Source organism: Homo sapiens, chromosome 2, assembly GCF_000001405.40.
Source record: "Homo sapiens chromosome 2, GRCh38.p14 Primary Assembly".
In the NCBI taxonomy this organism is placed as follows: Eukaryota; Metazoa; Chordata; class Mammalia; order Primates; family Hominidae; genus Homo; species Homo sapiens.
Genome location: NC_000002.12, coordinates 151609195 through 151628276, shown reverse-complemented (window position 1 = coordinate 151628276; position 19082 = coordinate 151609195). Strand labels below are relative to the sequence as shown.

The 19082-nt window shown below is 36.7% G+C and overlaps 1 protein-coding gene across 47 annotated transcripts in view; it reads left to right on the top strand.

The window, feature by feature from the left end:
• NEB (nebulin) overlaps window positions 1-19082 on the top strand; it is a 249138-nt gene that overhangs the window by 106200 nt on the left and 123856 nt on the right. For 44 of the 47 annotated variants that reach the window (XM_005246613.3, XM_005246612.3, NM_004543.5 and 41 more), the window contains 13 exons: window positions 443-754; window positions 1072-1275; window positions 2639-2743; window positions 7251-7358; window positions 8515-8826; window positions 9799-10002; window positions 10809-10913; window positions 12168-12275; window positions 13690-14001; window positions 15888-16091; window positions 17411-17515; window positions 17654-17761; window positions 18157-18468. In XM_005246613.3, the coding sequence (XP_005246670.1) occupies window positions 443-754; window positions 1072-1275; window positions 2639-2743; window positions 7251-7358; window positions 8515-8826; window positions 9799-10002; window positions 10809-10913; window positions 12168-12275; window positions 13690-14001; window positions 15888-16091; window positions 17411-17515; window positions 17654-17761; window positions 18157-18468 (2499 nt within the window). The remainder of the gene's footprint in view (window positions 1-442; window positions 755-1071; window positions 1276-2638; window positions 2744-7250; window positions 7359-8514; window positions 8827-9798; window positions 10003-10808; window positions 10914-12167; window positions 12276-13689; window positions 14002-15887; window positions 16092-17410; window positions 17516-17653; window positions 17762-18156; window positions 18469-19082) is intronic. The other 3 variants (XM_011511226.3, XM_011511227.3, XM_005246617.3) reach the window with 3 other exon arrangements.

The following is a 19082-nucleotide window of genomic DNA, read 5'->3' as shown; positions in this document are numbered from 1 at the left end:
GATAAAATGGTATCTGTGGACTCAGGAATAGCAGTCTCAAAATCATATGTAAAATTTCTGGGTTAGTGATTTCATGGGCCCAAGATGAAGAAATGGCAGTACACAGTACCGAAAGATCTTCCGGAAAGTGTTGCTTCCTTTATTTTCAGAAACTTAACGTCTACAAGCCATAGGACCATGTAGTTTGGCCTGTCTTCCCACTGGACTATTCCCATTAGACTGTTGCTGTTAGACTATTTATGAGACTTCGCATTAGACTACTGCCCATTAGATTAGTGCTGTAGAGTCTAATAAGAATTTAGGATGAGGAGATAAACTGATATGCAGATTCTTTCATTACTCTGCAAGAATTAGCAATTTTAAAATAATAAAGTTTTAAATTAATGAGGCTTCTAAGCCTTTCTATTCATTTTTATTTTTGAAATGACCACCTTTATTTCAGTACAAATACAAAGATGGTTACCGCAAGCAGCTCGGCCACCACATTGGAGCCCGGAACATTGAAGATGACCCCAAGATGATGTGGTCCATGCATGTGGCCAAGATCCAGAGTGACAGGGAGTATAAGAAGGACTTTGAGAAGTGGAAGACCAAGTTCAGCAGCCCAGTGGACATGCTGGGAGTGGTGTTAGCCAAGAAGTGCCAGACCTTAGTCAGCGATGTGGACTACAAGAACTACCTGCACGAGTGGACGTGCCTGCCCGACCAGAATGATGTCATCCATGCTCGGCAGGCCTATGACCTCCAGAGCGATGTGAGTAATTAAGATCCATGGTAACTGTGCTCATAATAGTAATTCATAGAAATACTGAGACAGTGGTCTAGCATTAGGTAGAACCTTCAGAAGGGATGACATTTCTTCTCTCTGCTCATTTTTTAGGCAACTCTTCCCCTTACTTTTTTTGGAGAGAAAGAAAGTAATACCTGAGACTGTATTCAATTTGGCCTTCATATATTGAAGAACGTATACATGAAATTTGACTATCCAAGCTTTCTAGTGTTATTTTTTTATTTTTGAAATCATGTTAAAACAACTTCAGTAATACTCGCTTTTGTGTTTAATCTCTCCAGAACATTTACAAATCTGATCTCCAGTGGCTGAGAGGCATTGGCTGGGTCCCCATTGGGTCTATGGATGTGGTCAAGTGCAAGAGAGCTGCTGAAATACTGAGTGATAACATCTACCGCCAGCCTCCGGACAAGCTGAAATTTACCAGTGTGACTGACTCTCTAGAGCAGGTGCTGGCCAAGAACAATGCTCTCAATATGAACAAGGTGAGCCCCCAATTTGTAGGAAAATAAGACAGGGCTATATGTCATTCAAGATACCTATTGTTAATTAAGTTAGTCTCTTTTTTAAATCCAATTAAATTGCTATCCAATGTATAGTGATTCAGTTGAATTCTCTATTCTGTTAGATAACAATATATGGGAGCATTTCTGCTTTGACATCTCTTGTGAAATAGCCAGAGTTAAGAATGGCACAGCTCTTTGGGAGGCCAAGGCAGGCGGATCATGAGGTCAGGAGATCGAGACCACGGTGAAACCCTGTCTCTACTAAAAATACAAAAAATTAGCCGGGCATGGTGGCAGACGCCTGTAGTCCCAGCTACTCAAGAGGCTGAGGCAGGAGAATGGTGTGAACCTGAGAGGCGGAGCTCGTAGTGAGCTGAGATCGCGCCACTGCACTCCAGCCTGGGCGACAGAGCAAGATTCCGTCTCAAAAAAAAAAAAGAATGGGACAGCTATTATGGGTTCAAATTGTTTGAAGTCTATAAGAGTTAGTTATATATGATTTGGTATGGTTTCTTTCTTGCTGAGTACTTATTTAGGTAAGCACAGAGCAAACAAGAAAGATGCAAGCCGGGCATGGTGTCTCACACCTGTAATCTCAACACTTTTGGGAGGCTGAGGTGGGCAGATCACTTGAGCTCAGCAGTTTGAGATTAGCCTGGGCAGCATGTTGAAACCCTGTCTCTACAAAAAATACAAAAGTTAGCCGGGTGTGGTGACACGCACCTCTAGTCTTAGGTACTTGGGAGGCTGAGGTGGGAGGATCACCTGAGCCTGGAGAGGTTGAGGCTGCAGTGAGCTGTGACTGTACCACTACATTCCAGCCTGGGCAAGAGAGTGAAACTCTGTCTCATAAAAAAAAAAAAAAAGAAAGATGCAAATCTTCATAACATTTATCAAAAAGAAATCTAGAGATAGCACATACAGGTACATTTGCAGCTAATAAACTAACAACAAACAGCATCAAACAAATAAAATCATGGGAAGGATTTGTTAATATAGTCATACTACAGATATGGATGTGAATATATGCTTGAGAAATACTTGCTTTTTATTTAATTGGGGTGAGAGTGACCTGGTTACCAAACACACACACGTGGGTGTGTATATGTGTGTGTGTGTTTGATTATATGTATATATATATTTTTCTTTTCATATCTTAGTATACATTTATATTTTGTTACAATAAATGTCTTGTAAAATCAAAGAGGTTGAAAAGAATATTAACATACATGGAACAGACAGCAAGAAAGCTGGCTCTCAACTTTGTCATGGTGTCTTAATTGAAAACTCCTGTTTACAACAAACTGTTTTTCTAATTCATTAACCTTTTTATCCTTCACAGCGCTTATACACAGAAGCCTGGGACAAAGACAAGACCCAAGTCCATATTATGCCTGATACACCTGAAATCATGTTGGCAAGACAAAATAAAATAAATTATAGTGAGGTAAGATCATTTGTTTTATTTCTTTGGTCTGGCCACATTGATTGTTGCCGATGTAGGAATGTGAGAATTATGAAATTAATCCTCATGTAAGCCAGTTAGCTTAGTTGGCTTTTTATGCCATTTACCCTACCTTGAATATACATATTATTGTATTAAAAAATAGGCAGATAGAAAGGTAGATAGATTAGACAGACAGATAGACAGACAGACACAAAAATATCTTCATTTCAGGAGGGAAAAAATATCTCAAGTCAACTATTAATGACTAAAACATAATTTTCATTAAAAATAATTCTTGCTATTCATCAAATTAGTACTTGCTTCAAAATTTGTGCGGCAAGTTTATTTTCTTCAATTACCTCATCTGTAAAATAGGATTAAAATGCTTACCTTAAAGAATTTTTAAAGAATGACTAAATGAGGTAAAATATTTAACATGCCCAGTGTGAAGCCTGGTGCAAAGTATTTGTTTAATAAACTTTAATGTCTCTCCTTTATGCTCAAGTCACCATGAAAATTAGATGTATTTAATGTGCTCAAAATAACTTGAGCTTTATTTACAAGAACTGAAATGAGAATTCTTAAATTCACCCATTTCAAATTGCCTGAGAACAATAAAATACATTCTTTTATGAACTATCTTCAGCCTTGCTAAACTTGTCATTGCATATCTTTGCAGTCCAGAAATACTGCTGCATAAATAGCGTCTTGCTCAATTGTTCTTGCCAAAGTCAAAAATGTATATGGTTGATTCAAGAAGGATACTAATTTTTTAAACATGTCTATGTGTCTTCATTTTTTTTTAGAGAAAAAGGAAGGCAGAGTTGTCTTCAGTTTGAGAGCACTGAAAAATTTAAGTACTAATTTTTAAGATGACCAAATTTATTACTTTACCCATAATAATTACTTTTGCCTATAATAATGTAGCCTTAAAAAATGGAGAGGGTATGATTTCACTTTCTCCAGCATTATAAAACAGACCAAAGGACAAGCCTGATTATAGATATTTGATTGGCCTTGGCTTCAGTCACTTTTGAATGGGCCATTTTCTCTTGGCCACAGAGCTTCTCAGTTGGATTATCTTCTCCCAGGAGGTTTATTTTATCCAAGGCAGATGAAGTTAGTTTCTATTCCAGATTATAATGAAGCTCTTAATCCTCTCTCATTTGTTTACATTAGGGGAACTGAAGTAGATTTTTTTTTCAGACTGCTGCAAGGATATTGGGCTATTTTTTAATTCTAAAATTTTCAGCTGGATTTACTTTCTTTAAAATTGCATGATCATGCATTGAAGGCTTTGACTTCACCACAGTGCAATATATTAATGTAGCAAAATTGCACTCATCCCCCATGAATACATACAAATAAATAAAAATAAAATTGCATAATGATGTTGATTCTCTGAGGAATCTAAGATCACATTTCAGAATGGCCCACTAGAATTTCTTCTCAACCCATTGCCCGTGGTTCCTTCATTGCATAAATGTAAAACAAAACAAACACATCTGTTTTTTTCCTCTTAAATTCTCATTTACTTATTTTAGTTTTCTTAAGTAACAAGCTTTAAAATACATCCCTGATGATAGCTAAAAGTGTTCTCTCCTTTGAAGCACTGCATCTTTTTTAAATGCTGAAAGAATTAAAGAACTCTATTTTTTTGGCCTGAAGCCATGAGATGATTGAAGCACATTTTTTCCCACTTATACCATTTTTAAAATATGAACATTTATTCCTAAAGAAAAAATGTAATAAATAAAGTATTTGACCTTCCAGTTTCAAAAGAAACATTCCTAGAAATTTTGAAGAAAAACAGATTCCCTCTGGAATTTATCTCAAAGATATTAAATTGATTCTTATTTTTACTTTAGCTTTTTCTTATAAAATCTCATCTTGAAAAGACTATAAACTGACACATCTTAATAATCCACTTTATAAACATAATAGTGACCCTGTAAGAGTCTTAAGTCATTAAAAATATTAAAAAATATTAAATGCATCTGTAGCATATTTAAAATCCAGATACTAGTCCGGTATCCTTAATTCAATCTAATTTGAGAATGGGGTATAAAAATGAAGTTTAATTATTTGTATCACACTTTTTAGGGATTTTCCTTATGTTTAAGATTTTGTCTTTACACAGGCTCAGCAATGAAAAGTACACTGAACAGTATAAAGTAGAGGGATGATAAAGCTTTATAGAACTGTAAATCTTTGTAGTTTTTCCCTTAAAGCCATGCATTATTTCTAAATTCTTTTCCAGAACTATCTACTGGTACTGTGTCTGCTTTATCTAACTCAATAAACCTCTTAAAAGAGGAAAGGGGGAAAGTGAAATTAAAGATTAAATTGTTCAATCATAGATTGATCTAAAGGCTGTATTTGGATATAGATGAGCTGCTTTCAAACCTCAGCTACCTACCATCCTTGAGGTTACACAAAGGCTTTCCAAGGGGTAAACTGGCATGGATCGTTTTAAGTAAATCAGTTAACATAGCTTCAACTTCCATACATACACTCTTCTAAATTATCTGCCCAAGAATGCCCCTACAGCTTGAGTGGCATCCCACTTCTTTCATAATCACTCTTCTCTCATGTTAAAACAAAAAAGGCATGGTTTAAAGGTGAAGAAATAAACTAGAGAACTAAATGCTACTCATTCTCTTGAACTGAATTCTGGATAGAAAAGCAACATTGCTATAAAGGAAATTATTGGGACATTTGATGAAATTTGAATATTCACCGTATATTTGATAGTAAAAGAGAATAATACTAGACAATAATACTGTATCAATATTAAATTTCCTGAGTCTGATACATATACTGTCATTATATAAAAATATCTTTATTCTTAGGAGATACATGGTAAAGTATTCAAGGATGAAGGCCATAATGTGTACAATTTTCTCTTAATCAGTTCAACAATTGAAAATAATAATAATAAGTAAAATGAAGAAATACACAAACACATAAAGAGAGAGCTAGAGAAAGCAAATATGGCAAAAATGTTAATAAATTGGATAGTTGGTATTCATTGTAGCATTCTTGCAACTTTTCTGTAAGTTTGAAGTTTTGCAAAAGGTGGAAAGTATACATTTTAAAATATTAAAACATACATTAAAATATTTGACTAAGTGTGATAATATAAAGATTTCATTTTTTAAATAAAGAAAAAGAAATAGTCATATTCATCCTAGTAGTTACTATGATGCATGTCTGAAAGTATTAAAACGAAACTTTACCAAACATGGCTGGGTGCAGTGGCTCATGCCTGAAATCCCAGCAATTTGGGAGGCTGAGGCAGGAGGGATCACTTGAGTTCAAGAGTTTGAGATCAGCAACACCCATCTCTACTAAAGAATACAAAAATTAGCTGGGCATGGTGGCACACACCTGTAATCCCAGCTACTCGGGTGGCTGAGGCACGAGAATCGCTTGAACCTGGGAGGCAGTGAGCCGAGATTGTGCCACTGCACTCCAGCCTGGGCGACAGAGTGAGACTGTCTCAAAAAACAAAAAACAACAATAAAAAAGACCCCACAAAACTCTACCAGACAACTTAATTCATTATTGCCCATCAAAACTTTGTAATCAAACCACCATGAGCTCCTACAAGTCTCATTAAGAGATCCAATAAATTTTTACTTTTTATGTTTAAAAATTATTATCAAACTGTATATTTATCTTGTTTTGATTTATTGAATACCGATGTTGGCAATTACTTAAAATTTTTCGTTAAGAGGATACAGAATCAGTCAAAATTTTTATCACTGGTTCACAAAAAGGGCTAAAAGCCATTGGTATATATGATTTGTTTAATGCGTGGTTCTCAAATGACACTTCCATGGAACATTTGTGTTTTGTCTTCTGTGCATGTCTGTCCTGCCACAGAAATTGAACAGTGGTGGTGCTTTCTCAATTCACAGAAGAAGTCAAAAAAGTTTTGCAGTTTTGACTCCTAAATCTTTGGTACCTGCTACCCTCATGTCCTCGAACAACTTGCAGCAGTTGATGAAATAATAGGGAGCAAATCAACATTAACAGAGAGATTCAGAAAGAATGACACATCTTTAGTTCAGCACTAAATTTGATTATGGACACATCCTCCTAGTGGTAGTATTATTATATGTTATTATATGATACTGTTCTCTGCTAGTAAAAATGTTCCCAATTCAAATTTGGAGTTAAATAAATCAACATTTCTTGATTGTTTCATGAAAAGGGCAAATGGTGAACAATCTAAACACATTAAGAGGTGTTCATTTAATGTATAACGTGTAAAAGATTTGTGCAAAGAGAGGTTGTGATGTTAAAACTTGCTGAATGTGAAATTTTCATTTAAATAAATATCCAAGGATAAACAGAAAGTAAAAGAAAGAGTTCTTTTTCTGATTTAAGGCTGAACATACTCATGTAGTTTTGCATCCAAAAGTGGTCTTCCTTTGGCAGAAAATATACTTTTCGAGTGAATGTGAATTCTATATTTAAAAGCTACTCCTTCTTTCCTCAGAGCCTCTATCGTCAGGCCATGGAAGAAGCCAAGAAAGAAGGCTATGACTTGAGAAGTGATGCCATTCCCATTGTGGCTGCCAAGGCCTCTCGGGATATTGCCAGTGATGTAAGAGCTGATCAAGTCCTAACATTTCTTACCATCATGCCAGCCACACAGAATACAGCTGGATGTCTCTTTGGTCATCATCCACCTTAACTCCCTTCAGTGCATAGGCAAATATACTGAGGGTTGAGATACAGATAACTTGCCCAAGATCACAAGCATCACAGAGGCATAGCCTAGACTGGAATGTGGCTCATTTGACTCCTTATTTTTGATCTTTGCTCAATAGGAGTGAGTGCCTCGATTAAAGCTAGATGTGTGTATGCTGAGCTACTCACAAAACCTCAGGAACTTCCTTGGAACACACTCAAGGCAAAGATGCCAGAAAAGAAGCAGGCTTAACTGAGTTTGCCCCATCACTTGAAAATGAACATGGAAAGACAAAGTCTTCTTTCTATGTGGTGCACAGAACCAATATTTCTTTACCCTAAAAATGAAAACATCAGATCCCTGGACATCTTAAAAATTAATCCAAGAGTAGTAAAATTGTTCATTTTTATAGGTTTTTAAATGTTTAAATTCTGGTTAAATATATATATATATATATATATATATATATATATATATATATATACACACACATACATATATATATAATAAAATTTACCATCTTAACCATTTTCAAGTATACTGTTTGGTGGGGTTCAGTATATTCATATTATTGTACAACAGATTTCCAGAATTTTCATCTTGTAAAACTTAAACTCTCTACCTATTAAATAACAGAAATTGTCCATTTTAAAACTATTTCTCCCAAATCAATTGTGAAGAGGAAATTACTTCTCAGACTATGCTAGAAAATTTTAATGATCCATGTAAACATACGCCCCAGGTGTGTTCTTAAATAGGCTCACTCACATGATGGATTTCTGAGACACCATCATGGTTTATTACTGTAATTGGACTCTTCATTTCAGTATTCACTTTTTATCATTTTTTGCCAACATATGATTCTCTAGCATATATAAAGGAACCATTGTGGGGTTATTCTGTGGACATGTGCCAATGAGCACAACAGTCCAATATGTGGCGTTACAGCAGCATGACCAGTGAAACTCCTCTGTTGCCTTAAAGATTTCATAGAAAGCACCACCACAGAAAGAACAACAGGGAATAGCCCTTTGTGCTTCCTTCTTATTTACTGGATTCTCTCTTTCAGTACAAATACAAAGAAGCATATCGTAAACAGTTGGGTCACCACATTGGCGCCCGAGCAGTACACGATGACCCCAAGATAATGTGGTCCCTCCACATTGCCAAAGTGCAGAGTGACCGTGAGTACAAGAAAGATTTTGAGAAATACAAGACAAGGTACAGCAGCCCAGTGGACATGCTTGGTATCGTTTTGGCCAAGAAGTGTCAGACCTTGGTCAGCGATGTGGACTATAAACATCCTCTGCATGAATGGATCTGCCTGCCCGACCAGAATGACATCATTCATGCACGGAAAGCCTATGACCTCCAGAGTGACGTAAGTTTCCTTGATGTTAGCTCTGCATGTTAAAAGCGGATCTGAAACGTGTCTGTGAGTTCTGACTAGTGCCAATGAACTGCAATTTGTTTGTATATTTCAAACAATTTACAATTAAATGTCTGAAAGGAGTTTCCCATTGGAGGTACTACAATTTGTTTTCTTCTCCAAAAGTTCTCTGTAGGAGAGGAAACAAAGTAAATATTATCAGTTCTAAACAGGTATAAATCTTCCTAGGGATTCAGGCTTCCTTTGTTTGAATCAGATGAAACTTAGCCCTTAAAAATATATCACTGCAAACTTTTGGCTAAGGAAGTAAAAAAATGTGTGTGTTTGTTGGCAGAGGGCAGTAGGGAGATAGAGGGAAAGCATATTATGCTAAATTACTTTAATTTACATTTTATACTTACTGATGGGAAAATTCTATCATTCTTACGTTTTTCGAAACCAGTCGTCTAATACTTATCAACATTCAGCATGTCCTATTGAGAGTAAAATAAAATGAATAATTAAGGAAATACCAAACATATCTCTGTAACATCACATTTCCTTTATACACTTGAAGTTTTGTGATTTTTGAAGATGGAAATAAAAGTGAGAATTTTTTGACTGCAGTACTCACGCACCATCAGTCTCAGTGTGTGGTTTTATTTGGAGCTATTAGACTACATTTTCCAAGGCTAAAAAAGCATGCTTCTCTGTAAAAATCTTGTAATACTGTCATAGGCAGGACCATGTCTTTTACTTTAAAAGAAGATCTTTTATCATTCTTGCTGTACTCCTCTGTACCAAAAAAACGCTCAGAAAAAAAAATACACTTAGGATTCAATAATGTGCGTGAGTGAGTGAATGACTATGCTAGGAACCTTAACTATTCATCGGTATTTTTGTGTTTCTCTAGGATAACCCATTTTGTAACTATGAATCTGAAACACTAATTAATAAATCTGTTTCTTATCTGTTGATCTGCAGAATTTGTATAAGTCAGACCTTGAATGGATGAAAGGCATTGGCTGGGTTCCGATTGATTCCTTGGAAGTTGTTAGGGCCAAGAGAGCTGGAGAATTACTTAGTGATACTATCTACCGTCAGCGTCCAGAAACGCTGAAATTTACCAGTATAACGGACACTCCGGAGCAGGTGCTGGCAAAAAACAATGCTTTAAACATGAATAAGGTGAGTCTTCAATCCTCACTGTTAGATACCGAAAGTTACCACAGAACAATTTAAAAATTCTGATATATTATTGCATTTTAAAGATAATAATAAGCATTATGATACCTTCTTAAATGATTTTTCCACTATAATACCATAGTTACTTAGTGATACTTCAAAATATTAAACCATTGTTAAAAGTACTGTGTGCTTTTGTTTGTTTGTTTTGTTTTTTGAGACTAAGTTTTGTTCTCGTCGCCCAGGCTGGAGTGCAATGGCACGATCTTGGCTCACTGCAACCTCCACCTCCTGGGTTCAAGCAATTCTCTTGCCTCAGCCTCCCAAGTAGCTGGGATTACAGGAGCCTGCCACCACACCCAGCAAATTTTTGTATTTTCAGTAGAGACAGGGTTTCACCATGTTGAAGGCTGGTCTCAAACTCCTGAGCTCAGGTGATCCACCCATCTCGGCCTCCCAAAGTGCTGGGATTACAGGTGTAAGCCACCGTGCCCAGCCTAAAGTACTGTGTGCTTCTGATTGGATTAGTAGGTTGTCAAAAAAAAAAAAATACTGTGTGCTATAACTCTTTCCTATAAATTATTTTAAATACTTCAATCCAATTATACTTTTCATAACCGATAAGTCCTTTAACAGATTATTGAAAGAATTTTAATAAGAAACAAAGGTAAGGAATTTATGCAGCTTTAATAATTTTATTTCTACCTTGTATACAAGAGAGATGACTGGCACATAATCAAAACAATAATATCTGTGAACACCAAAATAATTTTTCTCTCTCTCTCTCTCTTTTTTTTTTTTTTTTGTAGCGCTTATATACTGAAGCCTGGGACAATGACAAGAAAACTATTCATGTCATGCCTGATACACCAGAAATCATGTTAGCCAAACTCAACCGAATAAACTACAGTGATGTAAGTAAACTGTTGATCTTGTAATGAACAGAAAGGCAAAAATGAACCACTGTAGCTGTTTCCTTAGGAAAAGGTTTTGACTAATTTACTACACATACTACAAACTACCATTTTCAGTAGAAGAGATAGTTCTCACTTGATTCAATTTTGAGCTTTGTGGTGGGTCCACAAAGTAGGCTACCATTTTATTAACAGGTTATCAGGAATTGAATGATTATGAATAAATATTTCCATAGGAATTATACTTTTAAAACCTTCCCCTACAGGTCACTGTGGGTATCAAGTCATTATTTTATTCAGCAGCTAGCAAGTAGGCAAGGACTGGGTTGGAATCTGATGAGTTAGTAAGCCGCATATTATTTTGCTGCTCCAGTATGCTCTGATAATCATTTGATGTTAACATTTTTCCAGGCATTTCTGCCAGAACCAACATTTTCAAAAGGGCAATGATCCTGAAATCCCAGGTCCATATATGAATCATTGTCCGAGATAATAGTCCACAGCAAAATAAGAAAAAATAAGCACAATGCATTGAGTTTTTCATAAAACAGAATAGAGTACATTTTAAAATATTGTCCTTGTTTTTTATTCTTCTTTTGTGTTAAGATGCTGTGTCTTTTATATTATGATGACAATAATAAATACTGTTTTGTTTTGTTTTGTTACGTTTGAGACATAGTTTCACTCTGTCACCCAGGCTGGAGTGCAGTGGCACAATTTTGGTTCACTGCAACCTCCGCCTCCTGGGTTCAAGCAATTCTCCTGCCTCAGCCTCCCGAGTAACTGGGATTGCAGGTGCATGCTACCATGCCCAGTTAATTATTGTATTTTTAGTGGAGACGGGATTTCACCATGTTGGCCAGGCTGGTCTCTTCTCAAACTCATGACCTCAGGTGATCCACCCATCTCAGCCTCCCAAAGTGCTGGGATTACAGGCGTGAGCCACCACGCCCGGCCAGTAAATAATTTTTTTTTTTACATCTGCTTGTTTGGCAAATAAAATTTTGCCAACCAAATGTTGATTTTTTCCCCACATTTTTTTGTTGAAATTTACAAGTCAGTAAAATCCCAATGTTTGGAACATGTGCCTTAAAAATCCTAAGCACCCATGAGGCAAAGCTATCTATAAACCCACCCTAATGATTGACTTTGTGAATTATTTCTGAAGTTTAAATGAGGACAAAGAAAAACTAATAATGAACAGCTTCACTTTTTATGGAAGGAGTAAATGAGTAATGACTTTCTTTTCTACAGAAACTCTATAAACTTGCTTTGGAAGAGTCCAAGAAGGAAGGCTATGACTTGCGTCTGGATGCCATTCCAATCCAAGCAGCCAAGGCTTCAAGAGATATTGCTAGTGATGTAAGTGGATGTTTTGGAAAAGCCATTTCTTATTCAAAGATGTTGACAAATAGAAGCTTTTAGAGTTTTTCTTGCTAGAAATTTAGTTACCCCTATAAGTCTCAATTCCCTTTAGTGATTTTCCCCTATACAAAATTGTAAATGGAAAAAAAGAAAAGCACAAAATTCTAGACCCATTATACCCATCAATCAATCAAAACTAGAGACATACTATTTTTTAAAAAGTGTTTTACGGACACCAAAAATGGGTTCATATTTTTGAGCTTCAGAAATTGAACACTCCGTCTTCAAAAAAAATAAATAAATAATTGAGCAGCAGTTGACCTAGATGTTTGTGAAATTAAAGGGATTAATTTATTCCCTTTAAATAATATGTGAGAAACAGCCAATATACATGTAAACTCTTCCTTACTACTTCTATTTATTCTTGCATTAAAAGAAAACTAGATGGATATGTCTTAGAGATTTGTTTTGTCCTTTGTAACTCCTAATTGGTGAGATGTCCCTCACCGGACACAAGAACAAGTGGCAAAGTAAGCAGAGCTTTTTCTCAGTACCCGCTTGCCTCTTCTCTACTCCTTTTCTTCACATGCGAAACACCTCCTAAGGGTGGCCAGTGTCCTCATTCTGTAACAAGCCTCCTTAGGACTCAAATCCAGACTTTCCCTCTTCTGGAAGGGCCTCATGCCTTAGACATATGTTTCATTTCTTCTGTAAACTAAAAAGTATCTGAAACAGATCTCAATCAATTTAGAAGTTTATTTTGCCAAGGTTAAGGACACACACCGTATTATCAAAACTTTTCTTGCTGTTAAGCTGGAGAAGCCCACACCATGGTAGAATGGACCATAATGCGTTATTCTGGAATCTTCAAGGTAGATAAACTGACTCATAGTGAAAGTTCAGTGATGTTGACAGGCTGATAAGAGAGCCATTTCCTGGTGACACATAAACTCTATCTAAATGTAACACATATCCTTGACTGAGAAGTCTATTATAAGTTCTAATAAGGGAACTATTCTAAAATATTCTTAATGTCAAACAGTTTTGGGAAAATAACTGTTATTTTCCATCAGATTGTTATGCTCCATCAGATTGTACAATATATTTACCTCTACTTGTTAAGGAATCAAATGTAAACTGAGCAGTGTGGTATAATAAGGAGGAAAAATATTAGGAATGAGAAGCTCTTCATTCTAGGCTCATGCTGCCACCTGCTTGTGGTGTGACTGCGCAAATCACTCAACCCCTGCTAGGTTCAGGTTTTGACTTTTAAAAATAGGGTTGATGATACTCACTTTTCTCCTTCATGATAGTGTTGGGGAAAAGAAAAAGAAACAATGTGAATGTGAACCTATGAAACATGATTATATAAGATGTTCTTGTCATTATACTCATATCTCTATTTTTTTAGTACAAGTACAAGGAAGGCTACCGCAAACAGCTTGGCCACCATATTGGGGCCCGGAACATTAAGGATGACCCGAAGATGATGTGGTCCATCCATGTGGCCAAGATCCAGAGTGACAGGGAGTACAAGAAGGAGTTTGAGAAGTGGAAGACCAAGTTCAGCAGCCCAGTGGACATGCTGGGGGTGGTGCTGGCCAAGAAGTGTCAGATCCTTGTAAGCGACATAGACTACAAGCATCCCCTGCATGAATGGACCTGCCTGCCTGATCAGAATGACGTCATTCAGGCTCGGAAGGCCTATGACCTGCAGAGTGATGTGAGTGGCTCTAATATTCTTCAGTAATGGTTTAGAAAAGCATTCTAACTCTTTTGTGCCATGGAATCTTTCCACAGTCTGGTGAAACCTACAGACACCTCTTTAGGATAATGTTCTGAAATGCACAAAATAAAGTATGTATTTAGTTTCAGAAGAAACCAATCATATTGAAATATCATTATCAAAGTATTAAACCAAACCTGTAATGTGCTTTTCATTAACACATTAAGTAAAAAATTCTAGTGGTGACTGTAATAACTAATTTCAAAGAAGTGATGAGCATAAATACTTTAAGACATCAGCAACAACTCTGTACTAGTCTGTTCTCACAGTGCTATAAAGAACTACCTGAGACTGGGTAATTTATGAAGAAAAGAGGTTTAATTGACTTACATTTCCATGGGCTGTACCAGAGCATGGCTGGGAAGGCCTCAGGAAACTTACAATCATGGTGGAAGGTGAAGGGGAAGCAGGCACATCTTCACATGGTGGAGCAGGAGAGAGAGAGCAAAGGGGGAAGTGCTACACACTTTTAAGCACCTGGATCTCATGAGAATTCACTCACTATCACAAGAACAGCAAGGGGGAAGTCCAATCACCTCCCACCAGGCCCCTCCTCCAACATTGAGGATTACAATTCAACATGAGATCTGGATGAAGATGCAGAGCCAAACTATATCAAACTATAATAGGACATAAAAAGATTTGAGATTTCTATAGCTGACAAAGTCAGGTGTAGTGTCAATACTGCTGTAATATATTGCTTATACTTACAATGGATAAAATGCTATATTTCAGTTAGAGGTTAATGAAAATGAAGATGTTACATATTTTTTCTATCCAAGTTCACTGATGCCAGGTTAAGAATTCCTGTTCTAAACAAGCTAATTTTCTAAATGAATCAATTGCATTATAATTTTGTGTCTATTTAACTTATAGGAAGTATCTATTGTAACTTTTGAATGGAAGTTTAAAAATGAATTATACATATGAAGACAAATTTTCTAAGAAACTTGAAAACAATTGTTCCCTAGAAATACGTTAGGCACTTTTGTTGTTGGCCAGTAGAGTCCTTTGGAGACTCAAATATTACCTCATTGATATCATAGCTCCTTGTTTTAATCAAGCTCTGGTTAAATCAAGCACTTTTGGAAGAATGATAAAAGCAGTGACAGTTAAAAAAAGAGAGATTCCCTGAAAGCCATAAAAACAAAAAGAATTGTTACCCTTCCTTACAAGAAAAATTTTCCTTCAACCAGTTGTTTATATTCAAAGAAGAAAATGAAAGAAAGAAAAAATGTATTTGTTTACTTGAATTCTAAGACAAGAAAGAGGATGGAGGATAAAATAAATATGAGTAAAGAGAGATGTACTCTGTGACTTGGAAGCATGTACATAGAAGCATACGAAAAAGACGTCGTTTTTATCCCCAAAAAAACACATTAATGCAACGTGATCAACCAGTAATGCTCATTTCTTCTCTATATACCAAGAAGAGCTATGAAGGCCACTGCCTAACAACATAGGAGCCAACTGTATTCTCACCCAGTACAGTTTCCATAAGAGGAGGTAGGGACCATCAAATCAGAGAATAAACACTGTTTCAGGAGGCAGGCAGTAATTTCCTTAAGGTGGTTTTTATCACTGAAAATGAATAGCATTAAAGAGATTTTTATGAGTCTTTAAAACAGTAAATATTGGCTACCTTCAGGAGCCAGGCATTTAACTAGCCATTCTAAACCAAAGTAAAGCAATCCTGTGGGTCTTCCCAGAAATTTACACAAATAAGATTCAGACTAACACATTATCTGTGTATGTTAAATCAGGATCAGGCACCAGGCCGTCTAGGTGACATCTATAAATATTTGACATTATTTCATTTTCAGGCTATTTACAAATCTGATCTTGAGTGGCTGAGAGGCATAGGATGGGTTCCCATTGGCTCTGTAGAGGTCGAGAAAGTGAAGAGAGCTGGAGAAATCCTGAGTGACAGGAAGTATCGCCAGCCTGCAGACCAGCTCAAATTCACATGCATTACCGACACTCCGGAAATTGTCCTAGCAAAGAATAATGCCCTGACAATGAGCAAGGTGAGTCTCCAGCTGTTTTCTGTTGCCAGAATCATACCTTCCACAGATTTGGCTCATAAAGTAGGAAATTCCCTAAGGATTCCCTGAGAAAGGAGGTGTCATAGGCCTGATTCTCATGCAGGCCTTTAACAGAGCATCTGCTTGAATTCAAGGTGTGCTCTTCTCAACACCCTGCCCCCTAATTCTCTGTGTGCATGTGGGAACAGAGCCTGGAATGATTTCCCTGGAGTGATGCACTCACCCTTCTGAGCAGTGACCTGGAGACATCACAATTGCATTACCCTTCCTCACACATTCTCCTAGGCAGAGCAGATTCAGGCCACTTACGTGTCTTTAGCCATCTGGTAAGGAATATAAGCCATTTACACTTCATTCTGAGGGCTGGGATACACATAGTGTTTCATAGCAATGCTGGTACACATTCAAATTGGTTGCTCAGGTTGCTCCTCCACATTAGGTTATGGAAATCCACTTTTGAAAGCTAGCTGCAATCTCTGCTTTCAGTTTTATTACACAAGATAGATGATCATTTGTTTCATCCAAAATTTTATCAATCTATTTTTATCCAATGAGTCAGCCCTTAATATGCATATTTTAGACTGATTTGAACTTGAATTCTCCCACACCTGCCTGGAAGCCTTCCAATCATTAGGCTAGTACAATTGAGTGCTCAGTACAAATATGAAAGTGGCTTCAGATAGCAAACTCCAGAGTCTGGGGTATACAACTCTAGAAACTCTTTTATACTATATCCATCAACAGCAACCACAATGATAACAGCAATAGGAATCACCAAAAAATCGTTGAGTATCTGCTATGACTTGGGCATTTTATATATGTTATGGATCATCTTCAAAAAATAATAAAAAAGAATGATTATCCCCCTCTCAGAAATGAGGAATGTGAGGAGTTATGTACCTTTCTCAAGATCACACAGCTTGGAAATAGTAGAGTTGGGTTTGCACTTGGGATTGACTCTGAAGTCTAGGGATTTCTACTGTCTCATAGTTCCATAACTGAGATCCATCTTTGGATATCTGAATAAGCTTGTGATTCAGTGGATGAAAAGAATTACTAATAGCAACCATTATATTGCTTCATATTAATTATGAAACCATTGTACAGCTATTTAAATATTGCTATGTTTTACTTTCCCCATGACTCTTTTGCTTCCCTCACCTCCCAAAAGCATTAGAAGGAGCTATTTTATAGTTAAATGTGAGTTAAATTTGCTAACAACTGTAATGATGTTATTGGCTTTAACAGAAGGTCTTATACTCCCTCCCTCTCCCCATGCCCCATGCCGCCCTGCCCTGTAGCATTTATACACAGAAGCTTGGGATGCTGACAAAACCTCCATCCACGTGATGCCAGACACCCCAGATATCCTGCTGGCCAAGAGTAATTCTGCCAATATCAGCCAAGTAAGAGATTTCCTGATTGTTGCTTAAACCTAAGATTAATTAAAATGCTTTTTCCACCGTAACAATTTCCTTTCTGGAATTGGCCTATTACCTTCCTCAAACACTCTTATTTTCTGTCGTCTATTATCCCTTCCCTAGAAACTTTACACCAAGGGATGGGATGAATCAAAGATGAAGGACTATGATCTGAGAGCAGATGCTATTTCCATCAAAAGTGCCAAGGCCTCCAGGGACATCGCCAGTGACGTGAGTACCTTCCATCTAACTCTCTGTGGTCTCCACTGTGCTGAACAACCCAGAGGGTGGCTGGTGAACCACACACTCTATAGTGATTTCCACATGTACCTTCCAGTCCTACTTCCTACCTCTCAAGACCATTCCCTTTGTTGTTACAGAGAATAAAAATACATTTTGGCATTATAGTTAGAGTTGCTGCAGGGAATGCTTTCACCAATGAAGATATATGATTACATTACAATTATTTTTAAAACAGTATAAAACATTGCTTTTAAATATAATAGTTCAGAGATGCCAAAATGTTTGTAATATAAAATCTTGTCCATTTCATGTTGTCTGTAATTGTCAGCACATGAGCATGGTTTTAAAACTGGATGTCTCCACCTGTATTTCTGGCATTTTAGTACAAATACAAGGAAGCCTATGAGAAACAGAAAGGCCACCACATTGGAGCCCAGAGCATTGAAGATGATCCCAAGATTATGTGTGCCATACATGCAGGAAAAATTCAAAGTGAAAGGGAGTACAAGAAGGAATTCCAAAAGTGGAAAACCAAGTTCTCTAGCCCAGTGGACATGTTAAGCATCTTGCTGGCCAAGAAATGTCAGACTTTGGTCACTGACATTGATTATCGCAATTACCTGCATGAATGGACATGCATGCCGGATCAAAACGACATTATCCAAGCAAAAAAGGCCTATGACCTGCAGAGTGATGTACGTAACATGAATTTTGGGAAAGGGGGAAGGGGAAGATGTAGATTTGTTCATTGCCCAGTCAGTGCCTCTGAGGACAGTCCCCTGGGCTGTGCACTGCACAAACCTGGGGGTGGGGCTGGGGGTACCATTCACATTGTTTAATATAAAATCCATCTTTAGTAGTAACTTCTGGCAATGAAAACATATTTCAGACAAATATAAATCATCTGAATGTTTTTAAAATAATTGTTGCTATTATGCTAGATCCAAAACACTAAACAGCATTTCCTTGGGTCAATTGCCACAGGATTAAAATGGAATCTAATTCAGCAAAATTTTCCTTTAAAAATTTTCAACTATAAAATTTTTTGAAATATCAAATAATTATATTATGGAATTCAGCTTTATTACTATATATATTATTATTCATGGCTAGTATAAATAATTATGTTTTTACAAGTGACTTCTGTGATCAATATTAAAAACCCTCAATCATGTGAGATCTCAGGTCTTGCTTTTTTGGAAGTACAATCTCGTGCACTTATCCCGTCAACCCCATGTGCTTTATTTTTCAGCTAAGGATTTGTATGTCTAACACTTGAAATGTTTTTCCTTTTTTTTTTCTTTTATTT